Source organism: Homo sapiens, chromosome 7 (assembly GCF_000001405.40).
Source record: "Homo sapiens chromosome 7, GRCh38.p14 Primary Assembly".
Taxonomy (NCBI): domain Eukaryota; kingdom Metazoa; phylum Chordata; class Mammalia; order Primates; family Hominidae; genus Homo; species Homo sapiens.
The window spans coordinates 149,603,224-149,630,967 of NC_000007.14; the positions used below are offsets into that span (position 1 = coordinate 149,603,224).

The following is a 27,744-nucleotide window of genomic DNA, read 5'->3' on the forward strand; positions in this document are numbered from 1 at the left end:
GAAGAATCACCTTCTGTCCTAGATTGTAGTTGTGTTGGAACACTGGACCAGGAGAGCCAGGCCCAACTCTGTCATTAAGTGTTTTAGAACAGACACCTCAGTCACACAAAGTTTCTCTTGTATGTGCCCACCATAAACAGTTACTGGAGGATGACTCTCAAGGCCATTCTAGTGGCTGCTGGCAGTGCTTTTCCAGCCTGCTGCCCATAACTAAGGACTCAAGGCAGGGAAGACACAGGCACGGGGGTTATCTGAGGAGCGGGGACTGCCTCTTGCTATGCACAAGGTCAATGAGTTTTCACTGAGGTAGACCTGGCAGCTCCTAGGAGCTTCCATTGTGAAGTGGCAACACACAGGTGACTGGTCATCTGGGTGTGACCGCACAAGTCAAAGGCATTAATTGACCCCCACAGCAGCAGGAAGGGGTATAGCTCAGGGTTAGAGCATAAGACTGCAGACCGAGAGGCCACCAGTTTGATTCCAGATGCCCCCTCCGCATTTTCAATTTTGACATTTTTACATAGGTGCCCACATTTTAAGTTCTTCCTTATTAGACACTTAGACACTAGGGTAAATGTTTCATTTTTCTTTTTTTTTTTTTTCTTCTGAAACCAGCAAATGGTGAGGCTAGAATGTGGTGGTTCTTAACCCCAGGTATAAACTAGAATCACCTGAAGAGTCCGTAAAAGTGCCACTTCCCGGGCCCCACCCCAGACCAATTAAATCGGAACATCTAGAGTGGGGCCCAGGCTGGTGAAAGCTTCCCAGGGGGCTCTAGACTGCAGCTAAGGGCAAGACCCCGCTTTAGCAGAGCTTCCAAGAAGCCTCCTTAGCCCAAGACTGCATTGTTCCCACTCTGCCTCTTCTTATTCATCCTTATTTGAACCCCGAATATCTAGAGAAAGGTCTCAGTTAATTAGGAAAGTGAATTTTGCCAAGGCTGCGGATGCACGTCTGTGACACCGCCTCAGGCGAGTCCTGACCACCTGTGCCCAAGGTGGTAGGGGCACAGCTTGGTTTTATACATTTTAGGGACACACGAGCCATCAATCAATATGTATAAGATGTACACTGGTTCCATCTGGAAAGGTGGGACAATGCCAGGTGAAGGTGGGACAACTGGAAGGTGGGAGGGGGCTTCCAGGTCATAGGTAGAGACGAAAGGTTGCATTCTTTTGCGTTTCTAATGAGCCTCTCTAAAAGAGGCAATCTGATACAGATTTATCTCATAAGCAAGCAGAGCGGTGACTTTGAATAAAATCAGGTTTGCCCTAAGCAGTTCCCAGCTTGACTTTTGCCTTTAGCTTAGTGATTTGGGGGCCCCAAGATTGATTTTCATTTCACACTTATGTGGACAGCACTTAAAACTAGACCAGAACAGCATCTTCCAGGAACAAAGCCTCTTTCTGCATTTCCTAGTTGTACCCCTTCTGGATCCAGTCATTCTGCCTGGGATGGGGTAGTACCGGTCTTCTATTTCCAAGGCAAACCACCAAGATCTATTGCTCAATGAGTAAGCCCTTATAAGGCCAAGACAGTTTGCAGAGGATGAAATGTCAACATGTTAAAGTATAAGTAAAAGTTCTACGTTGTGTTCAGATGTTCCAATTATCAACGGCAATTTTATGTCACAGTTAAGCTTTAAAGGCGAACTTCTGCAGAAGGGATCACTGAATTATATCAACCATCTCAAAAACTAGAGGATGTCATGGCGTTCTATGCTTTAGAGAACAAATAGCTTTTTTGACACAAATCTTAAAATTCATGGAGGTTCAGCTATACAGCATAGAATTCAGAAGCACAATTCATGATTTTTAGTATCCCTTATACTAATCATGTTTTATGAACCTTTTTAAAAAGTATCTAAAATACATTTAATAATTCAGATTTATGTACACAACAGAAGTTTATATTTTAGATAGGTTAAAAACATGTTCCTGTAATAAAACTATCTCAAAGCAAGAAAGTCTTACTATCTTTACATTGAATGGCAGGAAAACACAACAGAGAAGCAGGCATTGAAGACAGAGCCTGGTCAAGTGTAGTGTCACTTGAGGCTCTGTCTAATTTGATCATTTAGCAAATGGCGCTTTGCTCTACTCCTCTGAGTTGAAAATATTCTGCATCCTGTGACTCTCCTTATTAGTATAAGATGTAGTGGCCTGAAAAACAGAGCTTCTTTTATTTTCAATGATGTGCTGCATAATTTCCTATTCATTAAAGTAGATTCCTTTTGTTAACAAGAGATGTGAACTTTTTATTTAGTACTCCCTGCCAACCCCTCCAAAAAAAAGTGGCATTGGTAACTCAAAGGATAAATGCTAGAGGGGATGGGCACCCATTCCCCATGATGAGCTTATTTCACATTGCATGCCTGTTTCACAACAGTTCATATACCCCGTAAATATATACGCTCACTAGATACCCACAAAATCTTAAGGTTTTTAAGAAGTAGCTTTTGCTGTTCCAGTTTCACAAACACTTAGAGCTTTGGCCTAGAACTTGGGTACTTGCCCTTTTCCCGTCCCTGCCCTCCAATGCCTTCTATTAGTGGAAACGGTCTCTCGGGGCAGTCTCCTTCCTGTATCCCCATTACTGTTTCAGCTCCTCCACCCAAGCCCGCCAGCCCTCCAGCTACTCTGTAAACAGTCTCCTTCCTCCTTAGCCTTTCCCTGCAAGTCTGCCTTTTTATCCATCCTTGTACACCTGAAGGCCAGCTTTCCCCTGAAGCCATCCCTCCCCTTCAACCTCTGGAAGGGACAGGGCAGGGTCACCTTCTCAGCCTCGTTCTCCACGTTGCCCCCAAACTCCAGCTCCTCCACCATCTCTCCATGCTTCTCCTCTCTCAAAGCCATCTTCTTTCACCACTCCCTCCTCTCACCATTCATGTCTTCTCTGACATACGGGACTCCACAAACAGTGGACACTTTTAGAACCAGGCTAACAATCTTATTTTCCTCACCGCCCTCTCCTTCTGTCCTCAGGAATGTCAAAACACCATGGCAATATGCTTCCAATGATAAGGCCTCTTGAGATTTCCATCCTGTTGCCTCTAAGAATGTTCACAAACTCCACTCACGGCGGCTCTCAAGGGGTGTAGTGAGGCACAGATTCAGCATTTTCCACTAGTGTCTTCTACCGTGCTTCTTGGTTATCAGCTGGGCACACGGCTTCCCAGAAGGAAATCTGCATTTCCCAGACCCTCTTGGAGCTGTGAGGCTACAGGCAGTAGTCTGGTCAATGAGATGCAGGTGAAAGTGATGGGTGTCCTTACAGGAAAGACTTGTCTTTTCCATCTTTCTGCTGCCTGGGAGGTCGATGAGATGCCAATGTGGGTGATGGCATGCTGGAATGAAAGCCAAGCCGGCCAGACAGCCAGAAAGAAGAACTCGGGTTCTTGACCCTATGGAAAGCCATGCCTGGACCACCTAGCTGTGGACTTTTAAGTGGTAGCTTTTAAGCTTCTAGTTTGTTTGCTTCTTTCCATTTTGCTATAATCCTTTGTTATTTTGGTTGTTCAACGTTCATTGCCAAACTTGATCATCACTTGTTCCCTTTCCAGATCTTAGAAAACTCCTTCAATGACACCTCTTTTGATGTTTACATGTACTTACTGTTACAGAAAACGGTTCATTATCCTCATTTTGACCTTAATCTTGTCTACCTCTCTCTGTTCCCAAGACCCCAGAGCCACCTTGGGGCTCAGCTATCTGCTTGCCTATTATGGACCCCATGTTTGGCCTCTCAGCATGATTCCAGCTCCTTTGAGGGCTTGGCCTGTGGTCTGTATACCCTCATGGGCCCTTCTGCTTCCGCAGATACACTCGCCATTGGCCTTTCCCACCTTTGCTCTGGGGGCGCCAGTCTTTGGTGGAGTAAATTGTACAGCCAGGCAAATGGTCCCACTGCAAGTCTACACCAGTTTCACCTCAACCAGTGCCTCTCTCTAATGAGCAATGATTCTATTCCTTTCTAATTCACCTCTTCTCCATTTCCCACAGTGCCTGGTTCACGCTTTGCCCTTCTTCCCAAGTAATGATTCCCACCCTACCTCCTTTATTCTCTTTGGATGACCTGTTTTCTACCTGACTGAGAAGACCAAGGTACACAGTCCCCTCAGCATCCTCTGCTTCTCTGCATCTTCACCTTCTCCTCAACCCCTCCAGGGTAAGAGACAAAGCCTGGTTTTAACCAATTCCCTGCCAATGGATATTTAGATGGTCTCCAGTGTTTGCTGTTAGGAATTTAAAAACTGCATTCCATGAATCTCCACATATATGTGTCTTCACGCAATTATAGGAATATTTTTGAAGGACAAATTCCTATAAGTGGTACTCTGTAGAGAATCTTTTTGTTTCTAACTTTATTTTAGGTTCAGGGGTACACGTGCAGGTTTGTCATATTGGTAAACTCATGTCATGGAGATTTGGCGTACAGATTATTTCGTCAGCCATGTACTATGCATATGTATTTTTTCTGATCTTCTCTCCTGTCACCCTCAAGTGCAAGTGTGTAGTGTTCCCCTTCTGTGTCCATGTGTTCTCATCATTTAGCTTCCACTTGTGAGAACATGCAGTATTTGGTTTTCTGTTCTTGTGTTAGTTTGCTAAGGATAACGCCCTGCAGCTCCATCCATGTTGCTCCAAAGGACATGATCTCGTTATTTTTTACGGCTGCATAGTATTCCATGGTGTGTATGTGCCACATTTTTAAAAGACTATTATTTTTTGAGTATCTTTTTTTTTAACAAAAGAAATTTGCTTTTCATTTGACAAATTATCACGAACAGTATTCTATGTCAAATACAAGTCTCCAGACATAGCCACTGGGTCTCCTTTCAGTGCAGGGAAAGGTGGTGTCACCTAGTTACAGTTCTGTCCCCAGCCTAGCACACCTCACATGATGTTCAACAATTGCTACTAAGAGAATTATCTGGATGACTTGAAGGGTCTCTCCATTTATAAAGGTCAACAAGCCCACCAGGGTGACCTTAGCCAGAAGTGATGATGGAGAAAGAAGTATTAGTGACAGGAGGGAGGCCAGAGTTCAGAGAAACAGAACTGGCCTGGACATCCAAACCGGCAGAGCTGGGTCTTGGTCTTGGTGTGTCGACACATGAAAATGGTGTTAATTACACTGTCCTCCTATGACTGGGTGTATGGCTCAGGGGTAGAGAATTTGACTAGAGATCAAGAGGTCCCTGGTTCAAATCCAGGTGCCCCCTACCCTGTTTTACTTTTAATCACCAAAGTGGGTCCTGGGTCATAAGCTCCACCCAATCCACCCACTTGGGGAAAAATGACACAGCCTATCTAATCCCTGATGCACAGCATCTCTGAAGTGCAGACTCAATAGTCCTCAAATGATTTTATGGACTTTAAAGTTTGTAAGACACAGACCTCTGCCTACTGCAGCCCTCTGGGTACCACTCCAGCACTTTTGCAGAGTAGTCCAAAATCTCCCTAGGGACATCCACGTGATCCCGAAGAGGGCTGGGCCATGTCTCTAAGTCCTGCTGTATTTTCCACAGCACCCAGCTTCCACTGTGGCACAGGAGAACCTGAAACAGCCACAGTCTCATGCCCGCCTTCAATGGGCATGAGAAATCTAATGAGCTTAGATTTCTGAGCTTAGTGTGCTGCACCCTGGACTTTGGCTCTGGGCCCTCAGGTTCTGGATTTCCCATCTGGGGCTGCTGCAGACTCACACCCTGGCCTACCCAGACCAAGGACTGGGGAAAAGCAGGATTCTGGGAGGCTCTGTGAGACTGTGGGCAAGGAGCGAGATGATAGAGGAAGTCAGCTGGGACTACCCAGAGGACTGACCTGAAACCATCAACCTCTTCTCTCTCCTCCACGCAGACAGATACAGATCATGGGCTCCAGCAAGGGAAAGGAAGCTGGAGTCAGATTCCAAAATCAGTAAATAAAAATAAGAATAGGTAACGGGCAAGCCGATTGGAACCTTTTGGTCTGTCCCCTAAGGCTCATCTCATTATTATGTGATGAAAACCTTGCAGTCTGTAGCCTTTTGGGTGAAAGGAGCACACCGCGCGTAGTAACTGTGGTCTCTCGAGCCCCCTCTGATGGTGGTAGCTAAACAAAGCAAGATGCAGGATGTGTTCTTTTCTGGGATATTCTGATGTTACCCAAATTACTGGATCTCCAGAAGCTTCACAGATGCAGCAGAGCCACCAATAATCCCAAATTATGTGGATATTTCCCACTCCTCCATGTAGTTTCCAGGCAAATAGCTGAAGGGCCTAATATGGGAAATCGGGCAGAAGGATTCACTGTCCGTGACTGGATATTTTGGCAGAGTCCTTTTCTCAAGCTTGGCTTCCCTATCATCAAGGGAGGCAGGTTCTTTGAGCAGATTCAGACCTGGGGAATGGGTCAGAGGTCAGGAACCTCCATTGTGCCAGCTATGGTGGTAGTTCAGGTCTACACGTCTAGGGGACCACGATGGGCTCCCCATTCTCAGGCCGAAAATCCTTACCACTGATGAGTCACAGCCAAGACCTGTGTGGCACAGACCACGGAATAACACCCAAACTTCACTTTGGGTTAAAATATCACAGTGCTTGGCCTCTGACACCCTAGAATCCTCCCAGCCCCACTGAAATCAGGGGCTCCCTTTCCACTATCATCCCTCCCACCAGCATCTCTGTCCACAGACAACAGCTACCAGAACTCTTTTTACGAATGTAGAAGCTCCACACACCTACGTATTTTTCAAGCCAGGTTAAGTCACACGTGATAAATCCACTCTAACTTACCTACCCCCTGAAGCGTATGGATTCTTTCTACATTATAGCAAGAAATTCCTAGTATCTCAAATGCATTTAGAATTGGCCTCCTGTGAATCCAGGGTTAGATCCACCAATGGAGCAAACAGTTTTATCCCAGCTGCTCTAGCTATGGTATCTTAAATAGAATTTTAACTGGGTACACTCCTAATAAAAAATTCAGGCTCATTTAAAATTACAGTCTTTCTACTTTATGAAGTACTCCAACAATCTGTATCCACACATGGTCTTGAAGTTTTTGCTGACATACATTAGCCAGTTGAAAATGATTTTGGTATCTGAGTCTTTGCCTCCCAGCAACTGGTGCCCAGGCTCAACTGAGATCTTACTCTCACTGTAGGTCAAGAGACCATGAGGGTGGGGAACCCAATCTCTTGCAGTGAAAACCCTTCCATCTGGGCTGGTCGGCTTTCAGGCAGGAAGAAGCGGCAGGCTTGGAGATTAGGTAGGGTTGGTGATTTGGGATAAATCAAGTTTTCCAAATGCTCCCATCAATCCATCTTACAATTCCTGAAGTTCTACCCTGAAGTTCTACCCTCTTAATCACTGACCTATTTTCAGCTGGGAGACTGGGGGAAGCTGCCAATTCCATGGACATCAAAGTTTGGCAAGCCACAGGGATCAGCCCTGGCTCTCATTTTCAGCTGTTTCACTTATTCGGTGGCAGGAGATCAGAGAGTTTTGTTATACAGTCAGAAAAAGGCCTGTGTTTTTGTCCATGTAGAACACATCATACAGGGTGACACGTGAGCTATTTGCCTTAAAACTGGTAGGACCAGCCATCCTGCCCAGAGGCCACTTATAATCTGGGAACTACAAATTGGTCCTGATGGAACTGCAGGCAAAAGTTACTCAACTTTTCTACAGTCTGATATAGGCTTCTGGATTTCTATCCCCATAAACTACCTAGATTATCATTACCTTCAAGTTTAATGAGGCCAGATTTCCAATTCACATTCCCTTCACGTTTCTGTAATCACTTGTTACACATCCCTGGTACCAGCAAGGGCACTTTGATTAAAGAAGACGTCATCTAAGGTTACTGTAGACACGGGGGCAATTGCTCACAGGATGGCAAGAAGCTCATGCACCTTAGGGAAGCCTGCAGAGCCAGGCTCGTCAAATAGGCAGGACCGGCTGGGTGCGGTGGCTCACGCCTGTAATCCCAGCACTTTGAGGCAGATGAGGGCGGATCACGAGGTCAGGTGTTTCAGACCAGCCTGGCCAAGGTGGCGAAACCTCGTCTCTACTAAAAATGGAAAAATTAGCTGGGTGTGGTGGTGGGTGTCTGTAGTCCCAACTACTCGGGAGGCTGAGGCAGGAGCATCGCTTGAACCCCAGAAGCAGAGGTTACAGTGAGCCAAGATTGTGCTGCTGCACTCCATCGTGGGCAAGAGAGCGAGACTCTGTCTCAAAACAAACAAACAAACAAACAAACAAACAAACAAAAAAACCAGGCAGGACCTCAGCCCACCCTGGCTTGGGAGCAGCCACTGCCACCACAACAGACGCTGGCTGCAGCCTCTGGCCCTACTGCCATTGCCAGAGCTCTGCCATCTCCAGAATGAATTCCAAATTAACCCTGCCTCTATGCAGGATTTATTCAACATTCACAGTCTTGTTTAGGAGAATATAGTTGGCCAAACTGAAGCCATTACCAATTGTGCTGGTTAGTTTTATGTGTCAGCTACGCACAGTGGCTCACGCCTATAATTCGAGCAGTTTGGTAGGCTGAGGCATGTGGATCACTTGAGGTCAGAAGACTGAGACCAACCTAGACAACATGGCGAAACCCCATCTCTACAAAAAATACAAAAATTAGCTGGGCGTGGTGATGCACACCTGTGGTCCCAGCTACTCGGGAGGCTGTGAGCCCAGGAGATGGAGACTGCAGTGAGTTGCGACCACGCCACGACACTCCAGCTTGGGTGACAGAGGGAGACCCTGTTTGTCTTAAAAAATTTTTTTTTTTCCTTTAATGTGTGAACTTGGCTAGGCCATGGTGGCCAGGCGTTTGTCCATAGCAATCTGGATGCTGCTGTGAAAGTATCTTTTAGATGTGATTAACATTCAATCTATCGACTTTGAGTAAAGCAGATTACCCTCCAAAATGTGGGTGGGCCTCATCCGATCAGATGAAAGCCTTATGAGGAAATGTCTGCTGTCTTCTAAGAAAGAAACTTTACCTCCATGCTGTCTTCAGGCTCGAGCTGCAACCTCAACTCTTCCCTGCGTCTCCAGATTGCTGCCATGCCCTGCAGACATCAGACTTGCAAGCTCCCACAATGGCATGATCCAATTCCTTAAAATCTCTATGTGCACACACACACACACACACATACAGCCCCTATTGGTTCTGTTTTTTCTGAGGAACCCTCATTCACACACCAACATTCAGAGGGAGGACACATCTGACCTCGATTTTTCCTTAACCAGAGACAGGATCCTGTCTTCCACCAAGACTTACACAATTGTGAATTCCCCAAATGAGGCTTGAGATGTGCAAGAAAAAAAGAGTTCTCCCCAGACCTGTGAGCACTGACTTAGCCTTCAAGAAACTGGTCTTCTCTAGAGCTTCCGGTGTCAGGCGAGGTTTTCTAGTGAAGACCTGACCTGCTTCCTCTCTCTCCTGCTTTGCAGAATGAATCCATGTGTGTTGAAGAACAGCTAAGAGTAGAACATCCTATCATGATCAGTGAGTGAAAAGATGTTGGGAGGGAAGCTGAGGCAGGGCTTGCATGTCTGGCTAGACTTGCTGGCTCCTTGCTTCTAGCACTCCCACTATGCTAATGTTTCTCATTCACTTGATACACTGTTTCCTTTCAATCCCCACATCCTCACCACCTGTTTGAGCACCAATAAATAGCGTGTGCTCCCAATGCTTGGGGCCTTTGCAGCCTCCAGACTCGCCATGGCCCTCTGGTCCCACTTTCTCTTTCAAACTGTCTTTTTCTCATTCCTTTGACTCTGCTGGACTTCGTCACCCCCATGACCTGGTGTTGGGTCTGATCACCCCAACAAAAGAAAACAGGAAGGGGGCACCTGGATTTGAATCAGGGACCTCTTGATTTGCAGTCAAATGCTCTACCCCTGAGCTATACCCCCATGTAATTGCCTGTCTCCAATAAGAACTATAAACCTGTATGGCCACACCCTGACTGTCACCATTATGAGATATGTACTTGCTTCGTCACGATATACCCCCTTCCTACTCCACACCTGCCTGCCAGCTCTACTTACAACCAGCATCCTTCCTTCTCCAGTGTGTGACTGAAGGCAGGGACATTAAAATCACTGCGGTTTGCAGCCAGAACATCCTTCAGACTCGCCTAGAACAGAGGGACTCAAAAGAACTGGTTGCTCAACAGACCCTTTAAAGGTGAGGCTGGGCTGGGCAGAGCTGGGTAAAAGCAAAAGTTCTTGAGCCCCACTTGAGGACTCCTAAGCCACACTATCTGGGAAAGGACCTAGGGACATGTGTGCTTCTAACCAACTCCCTGCACCATTCTGACTTACAGTTTGGAAACACTGGTTTAATCTGTTCCCTTCCATGGTATAGATCTAGAAAAAATGACAGTAATTAAAATCATGCCCAAACAAAACACACTTGATTAATGACCAAGTCATGACTAGAATCCACATTCATGATAAAGGGCCTCTTTGCACTGAACACTCTGAGGCAGGAGTTGAACTGCCTTTTCCTTTCCTCTTCTTTCCTCTTCTCCTCCATTCGCTGAATCCCACAATGTGTCAGATAAAAGTAGTGACCAGAAGACAAGATCCAATCCATGGAAAAGTGGAGAAGTGGAGAATCAGAGAAATCTGTGGTCACAGACATGACACAGGACGGAGTGACTGCAAACACGTGGGCAGAGTGAAAGGAAGGGCCAACAAGTGACACCATCTTGAACCAGGGACTAGATATGCAGCCAGATGCTCTGCCCCCAAAAGGTGCCCTCTCAACTGTTTAGACTTTCCTGATTGACACTGTTTCACCTATGTTCCCACGCCCAAGGATCTAATAGACATTGTAATTTCTCATCATTTTCAGTGAACCACTGGCAACTGACCTCCTTCAGACAGACCTCTATCTGGCTTTGAACTTACCCTGTCCTTCCCCATGGACCTATCAGAGGACTTCTAGAAATCTTTCCTGCCTAGAATCCTGCAGCCTCCTCCTCAGTCCCTGTGTGGGGCAACAATTTGGAGAACTCCTGTTTAGAGCTGGAAGCTTCCTCTCTCCTTCTCTCCTACTTTAGTTTTATCTTCTCTTACCTACATCCCATACTCTCTCTCCACTTCACTTTCACCCTCTGCACAGTGGGGTTACTTTGGGCCCTGGCCTACATTTTTTGACTGTCTTCTCTTCTTCCCTCTCCTCACTTACTAGTCCTTCCCTTTAAAAGGGAGACACCACCTTAACAGAGGGGACCCAGCCCCATGCTAGCCCCAAACCATTAGCTCAGCACAACTGGCAGAGCCAGGACCAGGCACGAAGGCTATTTGAGCTCTGAAGCTCAGGCCTCCAGTATCCTGAATTAAGACAAGGATCTCTCCCCATCAGGTTGGCAGAAATGTAATTATAGAAACTGGGCAGACATAAAGAAACAGGTTCTTCATAGCTAGCTGCTGCTAGGCGCACCTGGTGGCACTGGGGTACTTCTGGGGACAGCAATATGGCAATGGCAGAGACAAAATCAAGCAAGCCTATGATATGGTGAGGCCACCGCTGGGTCTGTTTTCTGGAGTAGCATCCCCACAGGGGCACAAAAAGAGACAGGCCCAAGAATGATCACTACGGTATCGCTTGTGAGTGTGAAAAATCAAAAAAAGCTTAAGTGCCAATCAGTGGAGGAATGGAAAATAAGTTACAATATAGTTGCTTCTGGAATATTAAGCATCTGTTAAAAGGAATAAACTTGATCTACATGTATCAACATGGATAGGTCTGAAATACAGAATAATGAGTGATAAATATAATGACATCTATGTAATGTTTCAAAACACAAAAATCCATATATTGTTCACAACTACCAATGCACACAGTAGACATTTTAAAATGTGGATAGAGGGTGAGCACGGTGGCTCACGCCTGTAATCCAGCACTTTGGGGAGGCCGAGGCAGGTGGATCACGAGGTTACGAGATCAAGACCATCCTGGCTAACATGGTGAAACCCTGTCTCTAATAAAAATACAAAAAATTAGCCAGGCTTGGTGGCATGCGCCTGTAGTCTCAGGTACTCCAGAGGCTGAGGCAGGAGGATTGCTTGGACCTGGGAGGCGGAGGTTGCCGTGAGCCAAGATCGTGCCACTGCACTCTAGCCTGGGCGACAAAGAGAGACTCCGGCTCAAAAAAAAAAAAATGTGGATAGAAAGGATAAACAGACAATTCAGGACAAGCGGCTGCCCTACAGAGGTCTGGGAGACCTAAATGATATCAAAAATCCATTATTTCGCACACACACATCACACACATACACACACACACATTTTGAATTACAAAGCATGGCATACATTCAGCAAATAGTTACTGAATTCCTACTCTATGCTCAGCAATATCTCAGGTGCCTAGAATGAATATATGAAGAAAACAGTTAAAAAGTCTTTGTACTTTGAAACTGACATTCTAATGAGGTAGACCTGACATACGATGAAATCTATAAATAGGAAATATATATATTATGTGACGCTGTCTGACACGGAAGACCGAAAGCAGGAAAGTAGGCCCGGAGTCCTGGGTGGGGAGGGGCTGCAGTGCCGATGACAGGAAAGGCCTGCAGGTGGGACCTGCCTGAGGAGCACTCCCAGCAGAGGGCACTGCGAAGGTCCTGGCACAGGGTGGAGGGGACACCACCAGGGATGGTGCAGCTGGGCAGAGTGAGAGAAAAGTGGAGGAGGTGAGCCAATAGTGCGGGTCAGATGGAAAGCCAGGACTTGCGTCTAAAAGGGATTACTCTGCTGGGCTGAGATGAGACTCTGGGGGATCAGGGCAGGGGCTGGCAACAACCTCAGCAAGAGACGATAAGCCTGGGTGTCAGAGTGGAGGGGATGAGGCGTGGACAGACTCTGGGCAAACCTGGCAGGGAGGGCCAGTAGGGTTTCTGGTGGAGTGGATGCGGATGTGGAGGAGGAGGTCAGAGAGGACTCGTGGGGTTTTGCCTGTAAATGGAAGGATGGAGCGGCCATTTACTGGGTTGGGGAGAATGTGGGAGGAGCAGGCTATTCAGAGAAGACAGGAGCTCAGCGCTGGGAATGTTTGGGGGGAGTTTATGAGACACTGAGGTGGAGATACAGGCCAAGCAGCTAGATGTGCGGAATTTGGGGCAAAAACCCAGGTTTGAGGCACACATTCCTAGATGGTATGTGTGGCCCCAAGACCCTGGGAGACGATGGGAATGAGGAAATGCAAGTAGAGAGCGGGTGTGAGAACCAAGGGCGCTCTAGGGCTGAGAGGCTCCACAGGGCAACAGGAACCAGCGAAGAAAGAGCAGTGAAGGTGGGTGGCAGGTGAGAGGAAAGTGAGCAACATGGCAAGTGTTACGAACAGGCCAAGTAAGAAGACAGACCATTTAACACCACGGAGGGCCCTGGTAACCGAGGCTGGAGAGGTTTTGGCGGAAGGGGTAAAAGAGTGGGAGGGAAGAGGCAAGAGACAGCAAGCACAGATGTACCCAAGGGGCTCTGCCACGAAGCGGAGCAGAGAAGCAGGCCGTGGCTGTAGGGGTAGAGGTCAAGGTAGGATTGACTGTGTTGCCCTTGAGAAGCTGGCATGGGGTGGGATGCAGCACCAGGTGGAAGTGGGGCTTTGGCTGGAGAGTCGACAGTTTAGCAGTCACAGGACTGAAGGCAGAGAAGGGGGCACAGGTGCAGGCAGATGGCATGGGGAGAGCTGTGCAAGTGAGTGGTGTATTTCTCTTTAATTAAAAAAAGGGGGTTAAAATATAAAACCAATCGCAGCTGTGGGCCATACAGAAACAGATGAGCTAAATTTGGCCCTCAGCCACAGTTGGCCGGCCCCTAGGCTAGGGAAACACAGTGTGACTGCGTGGCAGAGCGCCCACTGAAGTCGCTGGGCGTGGATGTCACGTGACACCAGCAGCCAGCTTACCTGGTTCTCTGCACCACGTGCAGCTGTTTGGCTGCAGGCACAGAACACTGATGGATTTCACCAGGTGGATACAATGAACAAAACAAGGGCAAGGGCACTGGGGCTGTGTGCAAAGGGAGACCACAATGGTGGGCATGGAGGGAAATGAGAGAGGGCAGTGAAAAGGCGGCAAGATCGATGGCTTGCAGGTCTTGAAAGACTGGAAACTGCTGGAATCAGGACACCAGAGAGGGAATTGAAGGGACAGCAGGAGGCGGTTGGGGAGTGGTGTGCTGGAGATGGAGATGGTGGTTGTGGTGCAGTCACTGTCATCATAGTCATGGATGGCCGTGGGATGGGTGGAGGGGGCACAGGACCATCCACAAGAAGGCTGCCATGGCCAAGACTGAGGGCCGGAAGAGTGACGAGAAGAGAGGGAAGGTCTGCAGAAGCAGCAAAAAAGACGAGGCCTGAGACCCAAAGGCAGGGTCTCTACAGAGGGAGTGAGGCTGGCAGAGACGCAATCATGAGAGGCGAGGACCCTGTCCCTGGTGGGCCTGGGCTCAGATGGAGGCAGGGAAGAGGATGACAAGCACTCAGAGGGCTGCAGTCCCCTGGAGCTCAGTCTGAGCAGGGAACACTCAGGACCTGGCGGGTCTGCTGAGCCCTAAGTCCCACAAGGCTCAGTGGAGGGATGTGCAGGAGGTGAGGAGAAGGGGAGGTGAGGTCTCACAAGGGGATGGGTCAGACCAAATGTGGCAAGGGATGAGCCATGATTCCCGGCTCCTTGGAAAAACAGGACAGGGATAAAGGCTACACAGGATCCCTGCCAACAGGCTCAGGATGGACAGTGGAGTTTGTGTCTACTCATCTTGTCTACTGGTGGGTAGAGGCCACGGATGCTGCTGAACATCATACGATGCAGCTAGAGAGTGTTACAGGGTCTTACCAGCAACCAACATATTTCCAGCCCCTCTTTACTCTCATTGAATGATGCCGTGGAAGTGAGAGAAGCCTCCACATACGGTGTAAATACAACGAAACCCACCCACCCAGAACCTCCCACCCAGGCTAAGAAGCTGGACGCGCATGGGTTGTAACCCTCTTTTCCAGCCCAAAAGTATCTGTCCTCGGCCATCTTTACATCCTCCAGCGCTTAGCACTGTCCTTGATACCTAGAAGATTCTCAAAAATGCATCTGTAGAACTAAACTGTCAATGTCCTGATGACGACTGGCAAAGCGGCCAGCCCGGAACATGCTTCTGCCCTTAGGAAAGTGCAAATCTGACTGAGATAGATGACGAACATGGGGGATGCATTTAATTTCACACAAGTGGCGCACAGGAGGGCCTCTGCGGACCACCACCTTTCTCAGTGTCAGACGAAAGGGAAAACCAAAGCAGGTGGGACGGTCAAGGGCAGGTCTTCTGGAGGAATCAGGGGTCGAGCCTTGCAGAGATGTGGTCTCTGTGGTCAAATGACCAGCAGGTCTCCAATTCAGAAATGTGGTTTTTCTCCTGTGTCCATCTGTCCTTCCCTTAACTTTCAAAGGTGCTGACTGGCTCCAGGGAAATCTGAGACACTGATATCTGGTAACCAGATTCACCTTAAATAAATGTATGCCTCTAATCATACTGAACCATAAGGCTGACCAATGGGTTTATGTTCTACAACTGCTACTGGCTTAAATTAAGGTTGAGTTTGGACGCGGTGGCTCATATCTGCAATCCCAGCACTTTGGGTGGCCGAGGCGGGCAGATGGCCTAAGGTCAGGAGTTCAAGACCTGCCTGGCTAACATCGGGGGTGAAACCCTGTCTCTACAAAAATACAAAAATTAGCTGGGCACGATGGCAGGTACCCGTAATCCCAGCTACTCGGGAAGCTGAGGCAGGAGAAATGCTTGAACCCAGGAGGCGGAGGTTGCCAGTGAGCTGAGATCGTGCCACTGCACTCCAGCCTGGGTGACAGAGCAAGATTCCGTCTCAAAAATAAATAAATGAATAAATAAATAGACACTGGTTCTCGGAAGCAAGACTGACTCTTTGCAAAGCTTTGAATTAATTTTGTTTTCAATACACAGCTGCCCCTTGAACAACATGGGTTTGAACTATGCAGGGCCACTTATAAGTGAATTTCCTTCTGCCTCTGTCACCCCTGAGACAGTAAGACCAACCCCTCCTCTTCCTCCTCAGTCTACTCAATCTGAAGATGACAGTGAGGATGATGACCTTTATGACCCACTTCCACTTAATGAGTAGTAAATATATTTTCTTTTCCTTATGATTTTCCCAATAACATTTTTTCTCTAGCTTACTGTAAATATACTATACATAACATATAGAGCATACAAAATATGTGTTATTCCCTGTTCATAGTATCAAGGCTTCTGGTCAATAGGAGACTATCTGTTAACTTTCTGGAGAGTCAAAAGTTAGACGTAGATCTTCAGCTGCGTGGGACTGGGGGCTGGCGCCCCTGGCCCCTGTGTTGTTCAAGGGTCCACTATGCTCCTGCCTTCCCTCTCAGTGTCCTCCTCTCCCTCCCCTCAACCTGTGCCCTGCCTTTGTCTCTTCCTAAAAGAATAGGTTTGTCACCTGTTTCCCTGATAGAAAGTGTTCGTTTCTGGAGCATTAGCTGACTAAGTTAGAGATTAAAACTCAACTATAAAAAATTCAAGACATAAAACCTGTAAGTTTCATGTTTCTCCTCGACTCTCTCTGGAAAGATCACACCCTTCCTGGCCTTTCCATCTCTGTTTCCCACAAAATACCTGATGCCTCCCTGGCCTTCTCCCAGCCCTTACCTGGACTGGGGTCCACAGGAACATCTGGAATCTTGGGGTCAGGGCGGCGCCAGTTGCAGGGCTCCTTCCCTTGTTCAATCTGGGAGAGGACCTCGGACTTGGAGATGGCGTAGTCTGAGGAAAGACAGAAGGTTAGTTTTTGTCACGTTCCAGTCAGAGCTGAGGACAGTCAGCCCTGAAAACCAACAATGGTCTAGAAACAAAATCTCCTGATTGTCTCCTGAGAGCAGTAGCTCTCAACCACAGGCAATTTTCCTCCCCGGGGACATTTGGCAAAGTCTGGAGACAATTCTGGTTGTCATGCCCAGGGCTGGGGGAGAGGTGACTGGCATCTGGAGATGCCCTGAGAGGCCAGGGCTGCTGCTCAACATCCTACGATGCAGAGGATGCCGCCGACACACAGAATCACCTGGTCCCAAATGTCCACAGTGCCGGGATGAAGAAACTGCCACAGAGCGTGCACGTTAAACAGCAGTGCACTTGTGCTGATGAAACAACCTCACGTCTGCACCTGCTCCTGCCCTCTCTAACAGGTCTCACTGCCCTTGGCTCCAGGATCACACAGAAACCATCAGGAAGAGGAAATCAGCCCGGGAAGAAACAGAGTCCAGGCCCTTCCTGGGCAGGATCAAACAAGGAGAGCAGCAGTAGCCCAAGAAAATGAGGGAAGTAAAGTTTTGAGGCATGAAGAAAATGTCAGCTGCAAGCAGCACCGCTGGCCCATGTTCTCCACTGACCTCAAAGCATGTTGCCGTAAGGGCCACACGTATCTGTAGAAGAAGGCCGAATTAGAAAGAGTCTTTCTCAAATGTGAGTCAATTACTTACTGGATCTGAGAACAGAAGGGGTCCTCCCCGCTCCAAGTAAGCACCAATAGAAAGGTCCATACCCTGGACCTGTGTAGGAGACAAGCCACCACCTTTCCCAGCTTGGTATTCTGGGGCCCTGCACACAGGGCGAAGGGAGCTTTTAACTCCATCACCCAGGGCTCATCTTTCACAGGAGGTAACAACTCTCAAGGTCAACGCTTCTGGTGATTTACATATCACTGTCATGAAAACAACCACGTGCAGAGAGAAGTACACGGACTTCCAAAATCCAATAATGAGTGTCAGGCCTTACCCAAAGAGACCAGCATCTCGCAGTTGCCCCTCATCACGTGCTTGCAGAGCTCCTTCTGCCAGTCCTCCAGCTTGCCCCACACTTGCTCAGAGAACTACACAGCCACATCATCAAATGTCATAGGCACCTGAAACCACAAGCGTCACACTCGCTCACCCACACGCTCACAGGCTTGGCCCGCGGCCTCCCCAACCCCAGGGCGCCCCAGGGCTACCTTAGGGGACTCCCCCTTGCTGCCCGGGGGCAGCCGCAGGATCCAGAAGTTCCTGTTGTGCAGCAGGTTCTCCACGTTCTCCAGCCGCCTCTGCAGCAGCCCGTACTCCTGCAGCAGGGTCCCCAGCACGGCCCACTTGCCCTCCAGCTGGTTCCCGAACTCCACGGCTGTCTTCTCGCAATCAGCCAGCTTCTTCTCGGCCATCCCGGTTTGACCTTCTAGGGAAAGCAGGTGAGCAGCCTGCGATTCAATCTTCCTCTCCATGGCCTGAATCGTGGCTGCCATCGTCCACGGAGAAATCTTTCAGAAACAAAAGAGAAACTGGCATCATTCATTCCATCCACTGTCTTCACTGAGCCCCTCTCTCCCTAGGCACGGGGGAGTTGGGCTGGGAGTCCATATGTGTGGACAAGTGGGGCTATCCTATACCACATGCCAGATCTCAGGTTGGCCATCACCTGCTTGGGTATGTTAGGTCTATGTCTGGGTGGGTGCCTTTACTCCAGGCCTCTGCAGCACAATGCAGACCCTTATCACGGTGCTTATCACCCTACACAGTAATTTCCTACCCACGCCTACACTGTTGGCTCCCTGAACATGGTATTGCACCTTTTCACACCACGGTCCTTGACACATGCCTGGCACTCAGTGCAGTTTTGCTACGTATAGTGTGACTTAGCATTGCTCGGTATTTTAGTGGGGAAATGGTAAACTGCAGATTTACTAGAGCCCAGCCTGCACCTCCCCTCATGATTACACAGGAACTGTCTACTGATGATGACCCAGCCAAAAAAAAAAAAAACCACAGCTCGTTCACTGAAACCGCACAAACAAGAGTACTGCTCATTTTTTTTAAAGCATCTTATGTCCCCTTTTAATAAACATAAAAATCTAATGGCCAGTTCCTCTTCCCCCAGGACAGTCTCATTTTGTCCCCTTCCCATCTGCCCCTCCCCACAAGCTAAAATCCCCATGACTGCAAATCTCCATCAGTCCAGAGTTTTTTGACACTGCATGAGCCCTACAAGATTCTTTCTCTTTCCCAATTCCCATCTCCTCAAGGTAAAAATGATGGCTTCAATCATTTTTGTAGCTGTACTAGGAGTGGTGACATACACTCTGGTGAGGAAAATGGACATATGCCACAAACTTACACTTATATATGGGCAAAAACCATCTTAATTCGAGATGAGGGGCTTCCCTGTCCTTGGAAACATTCACATGGTGTATCAGTGACTGGCAGCTGGGGACAAGGAAGAATGAGCACATTTTGCCTTGGGTGGGGAGCTGGACTATTTGAGCCACCCACATCTGAATGTGGGACCTATAGGGCAGAGAGAAGCTCCTGGTATCCATGCCCAAGGATCGACGCCCCCTTACAACATTCTGCAAAATAATTCCTCAACAAAAGGTTGGTGATTGTTTGCAAAATGAAGAAGTGGCTACTAGAAACCAGTGTGGATGCACTCAGGGAAAGTCACTGAGAACTACAATGTGAATAGATACCTCAAAAAATAGAGACAAAAGGAGAGTTTGAGCAGAAGCAGAAAAAAACTTCTCCAGGACAGTACTCAAGGGCCTGTCTGGCTGTTTGGAGGGAAACAGGACCCAAAGAAGGTAGGACTCTAAAAGGTCTTCAAGGCTGGGAGGTTCTGGACAAGCTGAACTGTTTCTAGGCGAAAACCCCAATGTGGATGGCGAGTCTTGCTCTCAAGGAGTAGGTGGTCCTACAAGTACCTGGGTGGGCCCGCTTGGTTCTGGGTTTGAGTCTGCCCTCCACCTAAGGCCACTGTTCCCTCACCTCTCCTTTCTTAGATCAATCCCTGCCACGTGAAGTCGAACGCCAAGAGTTTACTCCAGAAGCTTCCTTTCAACTGGTCACCAGCTCCCCATCCACTGAAATCCTACCCATCCTCCACGTGCATTATTACAGTCTTTGTGTGGCATGAAAGGGACCTCTGCATAAACTACTTTATTAAGAAAATATTAGTCTTTTACTCATGGATAATAAAGTACATGGTTTTCTCACAATTCTGATGGGGCCAGGAAACCCTGTGTAAGGCCTTCACACTATGTGGTGGGAGGTGTCGACTGTGCGCTGCTCACTCCAGCCCAGCTTCTTACTGACAAGTGGCTGGAATATGTGGGGCTGTCCTTGGACTCCTGCCAGGAAGCCGAAACTCTTTGCTTGAGAGGAGCTGATGGTAAGAGGAGCCCGATCCCTCACTGGCCGCCCACCCGCAGGATGAAGTCCTGGCATGCAAGCCCCTTCCTAGTCTCTCTCTGCAGACTCCTTTCCCACTGCCTCCAAACCAAAACCATCTTCTCCAGGCTCATGGACTCCTTTCTGTGCCTGCACACGCCCTGCACTGTCCCGTCTCTCTGCGCCTTTGCCCAGGCACTCCTCCCTCCCTGAAAGCACCACCGGTCTAGCTGGGCCTGAAATCCTAGCCGTCCCTAAAAGCCCGGCTCAAATCACAGAGGCGCAGAGCATCAGGCCAGGAGGGGTGGACAGCGGTACCAAGAGGCCCCCTGACACTCCTTCCCCCGGAGCCCACCGCAAGCTTCCACCTGGGCGCCAACACTCACCCCTTCCTATTTTGCACAATTATTGCCCGCGTACCTGCCTGCCTGGTCCTTGAACACACAGCCACTGTGTGTCTTTTCACACTTCCAGGTGTGCAAGCCTGGGCAAGTTAACTTCTCTAAGCCCCAGGTTTTTCTTTTGCATGACAGAGATAACACCAGTACCCATCCCACAGGCTTGCTGTGAGGACAGAAGGACAGACTAAGGCCTCAACAGGACTTGGTGCAGTACCTGGCTCTATATTCCCTTCCGCGCCGACCCTGGGGAGCTGGGCACGTAAGGGGTGTCGGTATACGCGGATTCGAAGCCTCACAACTCCCAGGTACCACTAAGCCGCTGGGGGGAGCTGGGGGAGGGACCCACAGGCCGAGCGCCAAGCAGAGAAAAGAGCCTCGGGTGGGGGGACGCAGATGTAGGGTTCAGCGGCTGGGGCGGGGGCAGGAAGCCCCGGAGGGGCCAAGGATCTTGGCGTGGGGCGGCCCGGGGCGGGGACAACCGTTCCGCCAGCGCTCGGGCTCGGCCCGGAGTGGGGGGCCCGGCTGGCAAGCGCAGTAGGCCCCGGCAGACGCCGCGGCCCTGTTCCCCGGAGCCCCAGGCGCGGTAGTACGGCTCGGCTCCCGCAGCCCCCGTGTGCCGGGCCCGGGTCGCCCGGGGAATCCAGGCCGCGAGTTCGTGCGCGCGCTGGTCGCCCTTACCGGAGCTGCGGCCGCCTCCTCCATGGCCCTGCGCTGTCCCCCGCGGCCCAGATAAAGTCGTCGCCGCTGCTGCGCGCGGCCCCACGCAGGGCCCGCCTCCCGGTGCTCTCCGCAGGCGGCGCCCGCCCAGCCCTGTCTCTGCCGCCGCTGCTCCCTGACTGCCCCTGCCCTGCGCCGCCCGCAGTTGCGTCAACGCCTTTAGCGCCCGGCCGGTCCGCACTGTATCCTGGGAGCCGGCGCGGCCGACGAAGGCACATGAGGCTTCCTGGAGGCAGGCAGCCGCACAGCCCCACCTGCAGCTCCGGAGGCGAACTGCAGGCGCGACCCCGCCTGGCCCGCGCCCGGGAGCTGACCCCGCGACCCCTGGCCGACCCCTCGCCCCTTCCCCGACTGCCGCGTGTGCGCGCGCAGTCACTGCGCTGGCCCCGCGACCCAGGCCGAGGGACTCGGTTACCGAAAGAGTCCCCCTCATAAGACCCGCCTGGCCGCGCCCGCGGGCAAGCAGGGGCTTCCAGGCAGGGCCCTCCCCGGTGACCGCGGGCAGTGTGGCCCCCTCGCCCAGCTGGGCCCCGGCGCGGCCGAACAGGCACTTCTGCCGCCCGAGGTCCTGGGCCTGGAGGTTTGGGCTGTTTTCGGGGGGCAGCTGTAACTCATCCCCATCTGTGTTTGAAGTGGAATAAATACTTCGAACAATAGGAATATACCGGTAGATGCTACTTAGCATTTTCTACCATGTGTTTATTACAGTAAATATTTTTTAATGGCATGAGCAATGGAACGCAATACCATCATTGAACATTATTTTGGGGAAGAAATTGGTATGGACAGATGTTCATGATATTTTAAGAGAAAAAGCCTGTCCAGAACGATCCTGTCTTTGTTTTAAAATTAACACTTTAAAACAATATATGACATCATATGTAGTATTATATACCGTGTATATGTGTATCTATAGTTTTGAAAGTTTGGAAGCATACAAATGTCAACATAGACTAAGTAGTTTTCTTTAATAGAGCACAGGCCGTTTTTACGCATTTTATTTTCCCAATTCATGTTTTTATTTTTCAATAACAAGGATAGTATTTTTAAACGAGAGAAAAATAAACATTTAAAAGTCCTTAAGAGGCTGAGGATGGAGGGCGCCTTGGACGGGGGCCCCCACGTGGTTACAGAGGCGCATTGCCTTTCAGATTCCTGGGCTGAGTGGGGCTCTTTCCAGCTGGGGAACCTGCGACATGTGATGTGGGGTCTATGGGGCTTGCCAGGCCTAGGGACCGGGATCTGAACATTCTCCCCTAGTTTCTCTTCATCAGCGTGGGCTGTACGTTCAGTGTATAAAAATGGAATTGCCCCAGGAGTCGTGTGGGCGAAGACCTTACTCATAGTGTTGCCGATGCTCCTGCGTCCGACTTGCTTCTTTGGGTCGCAGGCACAACCTAGCTATTCTCTGATGCCTCTCATCTCTGGGCGATTGTCCCTCAAATGAGGGGGTTTAGAGATTTCCTGCCTGGAGCCTTTGGCATCATTTTGTCTTTTGGAGTAAATCCGACAAAGGGTAAAATCACCCTACTCACCCCGTGAGCTGTAGGAGAATGTCCCTGGACCTGCCCCAGGTTTTTCCTGTTTTTTTTTTTTTTTCCCTTCAGCTCTTCCACGTGATTCCTTCCCCTCTCAAGTAACACATCTCCTCTCCTAGGGGTGGACTCGTGTTTTATGGGTCTGCAGCTTGTGTAATCAGGAAGAACATTATTAAGTAAAAGCCTCATAAAATTACAAATTTAGAAGGAGGCACAGAGCTGGTGCAGGAAAGGCACTCTGAAGCTTCCTTAGCTTCACTGTAATGTCCTGGATTAAAAAAAAAAAAAAGCCAGCCTTGTCTAGGCTGGGACATGTGCACCACGGAGATTGTAGGGGGAACTGGGAATCAGGAGACCTGTCAGTTCTGTCATTAACCAGTCGAGACCCTTGGGCAAGTCAGTCAGCCCTTGCCTCACATGTAAAGTGAGGAGATTGGAGTAGATCATTCTGCAAATGTCCCTGAGTCCAGCCTTCCTTTCACCACTTGATACGGGACCCAGTAGAAGACCACCGCTTCCTCTCTCACTGTGGCCTTTTTGCGGGTCACCCTGCATGATAATTTACCTCTATTATCAAGACAACAATGTGTTGGCAAGTCCCTGCCATGTTGCCTGGAAGAGCTACTCCCGGATTACCTTGGAAAAGGGCCTTATTCCTGTTTGAGGAGACAGAGGTGTCATCTCCATGGCAATATGGCCCCTAGGGGAACTAGTGCTTTCATGGTGTGTCCCATGGTGTGTGCTGGAGGATGTGAGCAGTGGGGCAAAGTGCGGTCTGGACTTAAGTGACCATCTGTGTGTCCCTTGAAGGAATTTAACATCATAGAAATCACTGTGGAATTCAGTGTTTCCCAGGTCCTCGGACCAGAAGTGGAGAGGAGTGGCTGGCTTTGCTGCCTTCTGAGAAGGCTGCCAGGGCTACAAGGCAAAAGGCCTGTGGGTAAAGGAGAAAATTCCAGTAGAAGGAAAAGACAGTTCACAGGAAGGGACAGTTTACCAGCTCCTGTGACAAGAGAAGAGGCGGGGCCTTGGCACAGCTGAGGAGGTGAAAACGAGCTTACCCAAGTGTTACTCCACGTGTTCCTTCTAAGAGGGACAGGGCTCTGCTTGCCATCGGAAAGGTCACGTGGGAGGCTGGACGCAGTGGCTCATCCCAGAGCTTTGGGAGGCCAAGGCAGGAGGATCGCTTGAGGCCCCGAGTTTCAGACCAGCCTGGGCAACATAGTGAGACGTCTGCTCTACAAAAAAATAAAAATAAAAAGTATTAACTGGGTATGGTGGCACACACCTGTGGTCCCAGTTAGTTGAGAGGCTGAGGCGGGAGGCTTGCTTGAGCCCAAGAGTTGGAGGCTGCAGTGAGCTATAATTGTTTCACTGCACTCCAGCCTGGGTAACAGTAGAATACCCTGCCGCTTAAAAAACAATGAAAGAGTCAAGTGGGGTTGTTCTCCTGCAACATTTTTTGGTCCTTGAAACTAGGTTAACATTGGTCCTTTTAAGGCTTTTGGGGATTCCAAAATCTACTCAGCTACCACCTTCTCACTATTTCTTGGAGTTGCTTCTTCTCCATCATTCTCCATGTATATTAACTGAAGAAGTAGAGCTGGAAGAATCATCTTTTGTCGTAGATTGCAGTTGTGTTGAAAGTGCCCTGAATGGAATACTGGGCCAGGAGAGCCAGACGCAACTCTGTCATTAAGTGTGTTAGAAAAGACACCTCAGTCACATGGAGTTTCTTTTGTAGGTGCCCACCGTGACAGGCACTAGAGGTTGACTCTGAAGGTCATTCTAGCAGTGCTTTTCCAGGCTGCTGCCCCAACCCAGGGACTCACGGCAGGGAAGACACAGGATCCGGGGTACCTGAGGAGGAGACACTGCCTCTTGTTATGCACAAGGTCAATGAGTTCTCACTCAGGCGGGTCTGGCAGCTCCTATGAGCTTCTATTTTGAAGTGGCAACTCATAGGTTCCTGGTAATCTGGGTATGGCTATAAAAGTCAAAGATATTAACTAACCCACACAATAGCAGGACACAGTATAGCTCAGGGGTAGAGTATTGGACTGCAGATCCAACAGGACACCAGTTCAAATACAGATAACCCCTCTGGCTTTTCAATTTTGACATTTTAAATAGGTGCCTACATTTTAACTTCTTTTCTATTAGACACTAGGGTAAAGATTTCATTTTTTCTGGAACCAGCAAATGGTGAGGGTAGAATGTGGTGGTTTTATACATTTTAGGGAGACATGAGACATCAGTCAATATGTGTAAGATGTACATTGGTTAGTTCTGGAAATGTGGGACAACTTGAGGTGAAGGCAGGACAACTGAAAGCAAGGAGGGGGCTTCCAGGTCACAGGTATATAAGAGACAAATGGTTGCATTCTTTTGAGTTTCTGATGAGCCTCTCCAAAGGAGGCAATCAGATATGCACTTATCTCAGTGAGCAGAGGGGTGACTTTGAATAAAATGGGAGGCAGCTTTGCCCTAAGCAGTTCCCAGCTTGACTTTTCCCTTCAGGTTAGTGATTTGGGGGCCCCAAGATTTATTTTCCTTTCACATTTAAGTGTACAGTACTTGAAACTGGACCTGGGGCTGGGTGCGTTGGCTCACACCTGTAATCCCAGCACTTTGGGAAGCCAAGGTGGGCGGATCACGAGGTCAAGAGTTCGAGACCAGCCTGGACAACATGGTGAAACCCCATCTCTACTAAGAATACAAAAATTAGCCGGGCGTGGTGGCACGTGCCTGTAATGCCAGGTACCGTGGAGGCTGAGCAGGAGCATCTCTTGAATCTGGGAGGCAGAGGTTGCAGTGAGGTGGAGGTTGCAGTGAACCAAGATTGCGCCATTGCACTCCAGCCTGGGCAACAGAGCGTGACTCCGTCTTGGAGAGAAAAAAAACAAACAAACAAAAACTGGACCAGAACAGCATCTTCCAGGAACAAAGGCTGTTTCAGCATTTCCTAGTTGTCTTAATTTGTCCCCTTTTTCATCCAGGCATTCCCCCTGGGATGGGGTGGTATTGGTCTTCTAATTCCAAACAAACCACGAGGATTTATAGCTCAGTGAGTGAGCCCATATAAGGCCAAGAGAGTCTGCAGAGGATGAAATGTCAACAGGTTAAAATATAAGTAAAGTTCCATGTTGTGTTTAAGTTTTGTAACTATCAAAAGCAATTTTATGTCATATTTAAGCTTTAAAAGCAAACTTCTGCAGAAGGGATTATTGAATTATATCAACCATCTCAAAAGCTAAAGGATGTGATGGCATTCTATGCTTTGGAGAACAAACAGCTTTTTTGGTACAAAATGTCAAAATTCATGGAGGTTCAGCTATACAGCATAGAATTCAGAAGCACAATTCATGATTTTTAGTATCCCTTACACTAATCACCTTTTATGAATCTTTTTCAGAACTACCTAAAATATGTTTATTAATTCTTCTGATTTATATGAACAACAGAAGTTTCTACTTTAGATAGGTTAAAAAGAGGTTCTTGTAATAAAACTATGTGACAGCAAGAAAGTCTTACTATCTTTACACTGAATGGCAGGAAAACACAACAGAGAAGCAGGCATTGAAGACAGAGCCTGGTCAAGTGTAGTGTCACTTGAGGCTCTGCCTAATTTGACCATTTAGCAAATGGTGCTTTGCTCTACTCCCCTGAGTTGAAAATATTCTGTATCCTGTGACCTTTCTTTTTAGTATAAGATGTAGGAGCCTGAATAACAGAACTTCTTTTATCTTTGGTGACGTGCTTTATAATTTTCTTTTCCTTAAAGCAGATTCCTTTTGTTAACAAAATATTCGAATTTTTTATTTAGTACTTTTTTTTTCCTCCAAAAAGTGGCATTGGTAACTCAAACAAGAAATGCTAGAGGGGATGGACACCCCAATCCCCATGATGAGCTTATTTCGCATCGCATGCCTCTTCCAAAACAGCTCATGTGCCCCGTAAATATATATACCACTTTGTACTCACAAAAGCTTACATTTTTTAAGAAGTGGCTTTTGCTGTTCCAGTTTCACACTTAGAGCTTTGGCCTAGAACTTGGGTACTTGCCCCTTTCCCGTCCCTGCCCTCCAATGCCTTCTGATAGTGAAAATGGTCTCTTGGGGCAGCCTCCTTCCTGTATCCCCATTACTGTTTTAGCTCCTCCACCCAAGCCCGCCAGCCCTCCAGCTACTCTATAAACAGTCTCCTTCCTCCTTAACCTTGCCCTGGGAGTCTGCCTTTTTATCCCTCCTTGTACATCTGAAGGCCAGCTTTCCCGTGAAGCCATCCCTCCCCTTCAACCTCCAGAACTGAGAGGGTGGGGTCACCTTCTCAGCCTCATTCTCCATGTTGCCCCCAAACCCCAGCTCCTCCACCATCCCTCCCTGCTTCTCTCTCAAAGCCATCTCCTTTCACCACGCTCTCCTCTCCACATTCATGTCTTCTCCACAAACCTAGTGGAAATTTTTAGAACTAGGCTAACAATCGTATTTTCCTCACCTCCTCCTGCTTTCATTCTCGGGAATGTCAAACTCCAAGGTAATGTGCTTCCAATGCTAAGGCCTCCCAAGATTTCCATCTTCCTGGCTCTAGGAATGTTCACAAACTCCGTTCACTGCGGCCTTCAAGGTGTGTGGTGAGGCAGAGATTCAGAGTTTTCCACCAGTGTCTTCTACCCTGCCTTTTGGTTATCAGCTGAGCACATGGCTTCCCAGAAGAAAAACTGCATTTCCCAGACCCCCTTGGAGCTGTGAGGCCATAGGCATAAGGCTGGTCAATGAGATGCAGGTGAAAGTGATGGGTGTTCTTATATGGAGAGGCTTGTCTTTCCTCCTTCCTACTGGCTGGGAGG

At 48.7% G+C, this 27,744-nt stretch overlaps 2 non-coding genes and 1 pseudogene across 4 annotated transcripts in view, besides 3 other annotated features; 1 reads left to right on the forward strand and 2 right to left on the reverse strand.

Annotated features, from left to right (window-relative positions):
- The window catches only part of ZNF767P (zinc finger family member 767, pseudogene), a 77,637-nt pseudogene extending 56,070 nt beyond the window's left edge, over positions 1 to 21,567 (reverse strand). The window contains exons 1-4 of one of the 2 annotated variants that reach the window (NR_027789.1): positions 21,319 to 21,567; positions 18,037 to 18,336; positions 17,823 to 17,949; positions 16,701 to 16,814 (exon numbers count right to left, since the gene is read on the reverse strand). The product of NR_027789.1 is annotated as a zinc finger family member 767, pseudogene, transcript variant 2 (transcript). The remainder of the gene's footprint in view (positions 1 to 16,700; positions 16,815 to 17,822; positions 17,950 to 18,036; positions 18,337 to 21,318) is intronic. The other variant, NR_027788.1, reaches the window with a different exon arrangement.
- On the forward strand, positions 5,153 to 5,224 carry TRS-AGA5-1 (tRNA-Ser (AGA) 5-1). The gene has a single exon. It is a non-coding gene; the product is annotated as a tRNA-Ser (tRNA).
- TRC-GCA19-1 (tRNA-Cys (anticodon GCA) 19-1) lies at positions 9,842 to 9,913 on the reverse strand. Its single transcript has one exon. It is a non-coding gene; the product is annotated as a tRNA-Cys (tRNA).
- Positions 17,543 to 17,682: an enhancer, noted in NCBI's record as "active region_26818". NCBI's record gives its function as "activates an Ori minimal core promoter by ATAC-STARR-seq in GM12878 lymphoblastoid cells {active_cell/tissue: GM12878}" and the evidence as "EXISTENCE:reporter gene assay evidence [ECO:0000049][PMID:35858748]".
- Positions 21,055 to 21,154: a silencer, noted in NCBI's record as "silent region_18762". NCBI's record gives its function as "represses an Ori minimal core promoter by ATAC-STARR-seq in GM12878 lymphoblastoid cells {active_cell/tissue: GM12878}" and the evidence as "EXISTENCE:reporter gene assay evidence [ECO:0000049][PMID:35858748]".
- Positions 21,175 to 21,924: a silencer, noted in NCBI's record as "silent region_18763". NCBI's record gives its function as "represses an Ori minimal core promoter by ATAC-STARR-seq in GM12878 lymphoblastoid cells {active_cell/tissue: GM12878}" and the evidence as "EXISTENCE:reporter gene assay evidence [ECO:0000049][PMID:35858748]".